Here is a 6,023-nt window from a genome sequence, read left to right on the forward strand (position 1 = left end):
CTGTGTTCTCTCTGTTGAAGCTACACACTCTGCCTTGGTAGCTCAGAAGCAGCCACAGAGAATACATAGATGACCAGGTGTGGGTTTGGTCCACGGGCCATAGTTTGCCAAGCTCTGGTCTGGTGCAAGGCTTTGGAATCCAACAAATATAATTTGGAATCTGGTCTGACACTCAGCTGTCATATGTGTCCTTAGACAAAGTATGTAACTTCTCATTTTTCCATATCAACCAACAAGCCTGGAGTGGTGATTAGGTGAAGTAATGAAGGAAAAGCTTGCAGCGCAGCCACGCACATCACTCAATAAGGAGGCACTAATATCCTCACCTTGGCCTGCTTCCTGAGCACGGAAGCCAGAATCCAATTCCATATTGGCCAAGATCCTGCACATCTATAATGCTAAGAAGCTTCAAGGATCTTATTAGCACTGGGAGGTTGGGGTGAGGCTTGTAAATACACTAAGTAGGATGGGTAATAGTTAACCTAGTTAACCTAGACAGGTATCTCAAAGCGCCTCGGTGATTGTTTCTATAAACCTTGCTCCAAAGAGAGTTTCTTGCTGTGTATCTGTTGTCATTCAGTTCTAAGCATTCTTTTAATGAACTCTTTCAACAGATCCTAATATTTTACCCTGTGTCCTTCTTGTTTCTTTTTTTATGTTTTAAGTTTATTTACAAACATATCTAGTATGTCATAGGAGTTCGAGTTTGATCCATTTTTCAAAGAGCTTGTACCTCTCCATTATTTGTTAAACGGATGAATGAAAACATCCTTATTTTGTTTTTCATTTTCTATTTTTATAGATTTAGGGCATACAAGTGCATTTTTATTACAAGGATATATTGCACAGTGGTTAAGTCTGGGCTTTTTGTGTGCCCATCATCTGAATAGTGTATGTTTTATCCAAGAGGTACTTTCTCATTCCTCAGCACCCAACTCCCATCTTCCCACATTTGGAGACTCCAGTGTCTATTATTCTACTCTGTATGTCCACGTGTACACACCGTTTAGCTCCTACTTATGAGTGAGAACATGAGGTATTTGACTTTCTGTGTCTGAGTTATTTCACCTAGGATGATGGCCTCCAGTTCCATCCATGTTGCTTCAAAAACAATTATTTCATTCTTTTTTATGACTGAGTAGTATTCCATGGTGTGTGTCTCTACACACACACACACACACACACACTAATACATATATGTGTGTGTGTGTATATATGTGTATGTATATGTGTGTATATATATATATATACACACACACACACAGATATAGGCATTTTCTTTATCTAATCATCTGTTGACGGACACTTAGGTTGATGACTTTGCTACTGTGAATAGTGCTGCAGTAAACATATGAGTGTGGATGTCTTTTTAATATAATGATTTCCTTTCCTTTGGGAAGATACCCTGTAGTGGGATTACCAGATCAAATGATAAGTCTATTTTTAGATCTTTGAGAAATCTCCATACTGTTTTCCATAGAGGTTGTACTAATTTACATTCCAATCAAAAGTGTATACGCATTCCATTTTCTTTGCATGCACACTAACATCTGTTGTTTTTTGACTTTTTAGTAATAGCCATTTTGACTGGTGTGAGATGGCATCTTATTGTGATTTTAATGTGCATTTCTCTGATAATTAGTGATGTTGAGCATTTTTAAAATATGTTTGTTGGCTGCTTATATGTCTTCTTTTGAAAAATGTCTGTTCATGTCCTCTGCCTACTTTTTAATGGGGTCATTTGTTTTTTTCTTATTGAGTTGTTTGAGTTCCTTATAGATTCTGGATATTAGTCGTTTGTCAGATGCATAGTTTGCAAATGTTTTCTCCTGTTCTGCAGGCCGTTTGTTCACTCAATTGACTGTTTCTTTTTGCTGTGCAAAAGCTTTTTAGTTTAATTAAGTCATATTTGTTTATTTTTGTTTTTGTTGCTTGCTTTTGAGGCCTTAGTCATAAATTCCTTGCTGAGGCCAATGTCCAGAGAGTTTTCCTAGGGTTTCTTGCAGGACTTTTATAGTTTCAGGTCTTGTAGTTAAATCTTTAATCCATCTTGAGTTACTTTTTATATATTGTGACAGATAGGGGTTCAATTTCATTCTTCTGCATATGGCCAGCCAATTTTCCCAGGACCATTTATTGAATAGGATATTCTTTCCCCAGTATATATTTTTGTCAACATTGTCAAAGATCAGTGGGTTGTATGTATGTGGCTTTAGTTCTGGATTCTCTATTCTATTTCACTGATTTCTGTATCTCTTTTTATCTCAATACCAAGCTGTTTTGGTTAATTTGAAGTCAGATACAAACATTCTTATTTCTTAAGCAGTTTGTATCTTACTATAAAGGTGCAACAAACCCAGATCCAAAGTACAAAGTCACTGTAATTAGTAACCACCACTTATTTTCTACTGAAAACAGCAAATTCTCCCCCATGCCTTCCTCACAGTGTCTTCTACAGAACACAGAGGTTGTGAGCCTCTCTGCAAAAGGTGCAGTGACTGGAGGTGGAAGAAAAACCCTTCCAACTTCTATAGCAAGATCACTTAATAAAAAGTAATGATGCCACCAAGTAAGGTTGTGCTAAAACAAACCAATACCCGCCCACCTCAAACCCACAGTGATGAAAATGTGTCAAAGGGATGTGGGAGGAAACTGAAAAAGCTCCCAATGGCCATAGCTGGAACTACGTGGGCAATAAAATAAATAATATAGAATTCTATTAAAACCTAAAGTAAAAAATACATATCCACAAGTCTATACTGATACAAATCAATGACAGAATAAATACTTGGGGAAGAAAATGCAAATATCAGAAGTGTGAGGGGGCTGCACATAGTGACTTCCTTCCAAAGGGTACGGTATGGAAAGGGGGAAGAAAGAGTCACTGGCCAGTGGAGACACCTGACAAACACGACCTCTGCAAAGTGATCAAGGTTGACATCAACAGTGGTGTCACAGTGATGATGTGAACTCTTGATATGATGTGAGGAAAATGACACTTTACCTCTGTGGTCTTCCCCCTGAAAACACACAACTCCAGTTTCTAATCATGAGATAAACACCAGGCCAGTCCAGACTGAGAGACATTCTACAATACAGGTCTGGCACTCCTCAGTACTGTTAAGGTCACCAAGAACAAGGAGTGTCTGAGAAATTGTCGCAGGCAAGAGGAGCCTAAAAGATATGAAGACTACATGCAATGTGGGATTCCAGATGGGATCCTACAACAGAAAAAGGACATGAGCTAAAAACTAGGGACATCACAATAACATATGGATTTTAGTTAATAATAATGTTTTAAAAATTAGTGACAATACCTACCTATTTTTGAGTGCTCACACGTGCCAGGCACTGTGTGTAGCATTTGACAGGGACCGTCACATTCAGCCTTCACATTTGCTAGCCAATGGGAAGCGAGGCATCTGACACCATACACCCGACGCTGTGTGCAGACTAAGCCTTTGCCCCTGCCTCTAGGACCAGTTTGGACTCAAGATGGGAAATAATCCCAAGCTGTAGCACTTACATCCATTTTCTCTTTCTCTTTTGCTAACAAAGCCTCAATTTTCTTTGGGCTGGCTATGTGGCGTCCTAAAAAGCTTCTACATATTTTATCCTGTCTTAGAGCTGGAGTGACTGTATTCTATCAGTGAAATGTGAGTAGAAGCCTTTTTGGGGGGTTAGGGGAAATTTTTTGCCATTTAATGTTGGTGTTGCCCTTCTTCCCATCCAGGATATAGATGTAAGGCTGGAGGTGGAGCAGCTGCTCGGCGATCTGTGGTGACAAGAGTGGTGATGAGAGGCACATGCTGAGGATGGCTGAGCAGGAGGACAGAGGAGCCAGGGACAGTGCCGCCTTCTTAGAGCTCCTGCCCAGGCCCTGAGCAGCCCACCTCACTCCTGGTACATGGATCCCATCTCTAGGGCTCTGCCCCAGCTCAGCTTTGCTGCTGGCTCTGTACTGACCAGATAGTTGATTCTAGTAACTAAATTTTTACTTTATTTTCCAGGGACTCCGGTTCCTGATCTTGTCTTCTCTTTGCCTCAGGTGTCTGCCAAGTTCTGGGAAATTTGTGTCACAGGGCAAGGATCCTGGCACAAGGGAGGAAGTATCAGGTCACAGTTTAGGCTCTTGAGTTAGATGGCTGAGCTCAAATTCCAGCTCTGGCTTTTGCATGATGGGAGGTTTGGGGCAAGTTACCCAACCTCTTCAATTCTTGGCTTCTTCCTCTGTGAAGTGGCTTCAAAGGGCTGTGGAATGTGCGTAACATGTGCCTGGGCCATTGTGGGTGCTCTGTATGTGTGGCCACATTACTGTCATCATCATCATCCCCTAGACAGGCCATGTGAAGTAGTGGCACATATGAAGTGCCACATAAATGTTAATTACTACTATCATGATTTTGCTTCCCTCCTGTCTGTCCTTGAGAGGGACATGCAGACCCCCCAAACCACCCATCTACCTTCATATCTCATGCTGTCCTCAATGCCTCTGCCAATTCACCCAAATCATCTGCCATGAAGTCAGGCCATCTAGGTCCTGAAACTAAGCCCAGGTTTTACCAAGTTTTGGTTTCTCTTATTCCTGGTTCAGTGACTCTCTGCTCCTGGTTCTGCAACAGTGTGAACTGGGTTTGGAGCTCTCTAGCCCTGAGAAGTTATCCACACTAGATGCTGTTAAGGTCACCAAGAACAAGGAAAGTCTGAGAAACTGTCACAGACAAGAGGAGCCTAGAAAGATATAATGACTACATATACCATCACCCTTTTGTGGTTGACCCCACTGCATCACAGGGATAGTTCCAAGAGAAACTCAACCTCCCTCAGCTCAATGAACTGTGTCTAAGTTCTTAGTCCTCTGGCTCAGTTCCGTGGCCCAGGGTCACTATTCTCTTAAATGTTGGCGAATAGCAACACTTCAAAGGTACCTAGGGGCAAGAAGAGTTCACATAAGAGGTGGAGGAGGAATATCAGAGTATACATTCCAGGAGGGCAGAGGGCACCAGAAGCTAAAGGAGTGAGGAGTTTCAAGAGGGAAGAGATCAGCAAAGCAAATGTGATCCAGAGTCCCCTCAGGATTAGCTCTGAAAAAATCTGCCAGATTTGGAAATTACAGTTGATCCTCATTATTTGCAGAATCTGTATCTGCAAATTCAACCCACTCACTAAAATGTATTTATAATCAGTACTCATGGAGCTTTCATGATCATTTGTGGACATGTGTAGAGTGATGAAAAATTTGAGTCACTTGACGTGCACGTTTCCAGCTGAGGCTGAACACAGTGATGCTCTGCCTTCCTGCCTCTGCTTTCATATTGTGAACCAGTGTCCTTGAGTCTATTCAGTGTCACATTCTTCACATTTCTGTTCATTTTGCTGGTGATTTTGCTGTTTAAAAGGGACTTCAAGTGTAGTGCTGAAGTGCTGTGTAGTGTTTCTATGCACAGGAGGCTATGATGTGCCTTTTGAAAAAATACTTGTTAGGTAAGTTTCATTCGGGCATGAGTTATAGTGCTGTTCACTGTGAATTCAATGTTCATGAATAATCAATATATGTTAAATGGGTATCTTTAAACAGAGACACGCATAAACCAAGGTCAGCATTTACTGGGTTTTGAAAATGTTGTGCCCAGAGGCTGGCAGGAACCTAACCCTGTATTTCCTGTAGGAGCAATGGTTCAGTGTTCACTAATGTGGCAACTTCATAGAACATAACTACTGCAAATAATGAGAATAGACTGTATTAGGTCATTGTACAACTTAGCAAGAATGAATGGTTTCAGTTGTGTAATAATAGAAACCAAATTATGGTGTCTTGAGTATTGAATGGAAGATGAAGAAGTATAGAGCCAGTGTAGACAACATGTCCTTCAAGAAGTTTAATTGAGAAGAGGAAAACTAGAGAGCTTGTTTTCACAAATGTTAGATGCTCTATAAATTATTTTTAATTGAATTGAGGTAGAAACCTGAAGTTTAAATTTAAGTTACTTGATGGATTCTTATATTTTATGTTAGCCAGACTC

At 40.7% G+C, this 6,023-nt stretch overlaps 2 annotated features.

Annotated features, from left to right (window-relative positions):
- Nucleotides 2,457–2,546: an enhancer, noted in NCBI's record as "active region_4153". NCBI's record gives its function as "activates an Ori minimal core promoter by ATAC-STARR-seq in GM12878 lymphoblastoid cells {active_cell/tissue: GM12878}" and the evidence as "EXISTENCE:reporter gene assay evidence [ECO:0000049][PMID:35858748]".
- Nucleotides 5,748–5,797: a silencer, noted in NCBI's record as "silent region_2904". NCBI's record gives its function as "represses an Ori minimal core promoter by ATAC-STARR-seq in GM12878 lymphoblastoid cells {active_cell/tissue: GM12878}" and the evidence as "EXISTENCE:reporter gene assay evidence [ECO:0000049][PMID:35858748]".

The sequence above is a fragment of the Homo sapiens genome, chromosome 10 (genome assembly GCF_000001405.40).
Source record: "Homo sapiens chromosome 10, GRCh38.p14 Primary Assembly".
Taxonomy (NCBI): Eukaryota; Metazoa; Chordata; class Mammalia; order Primates; family Hominidae; genus Homo; species Homo sapiens.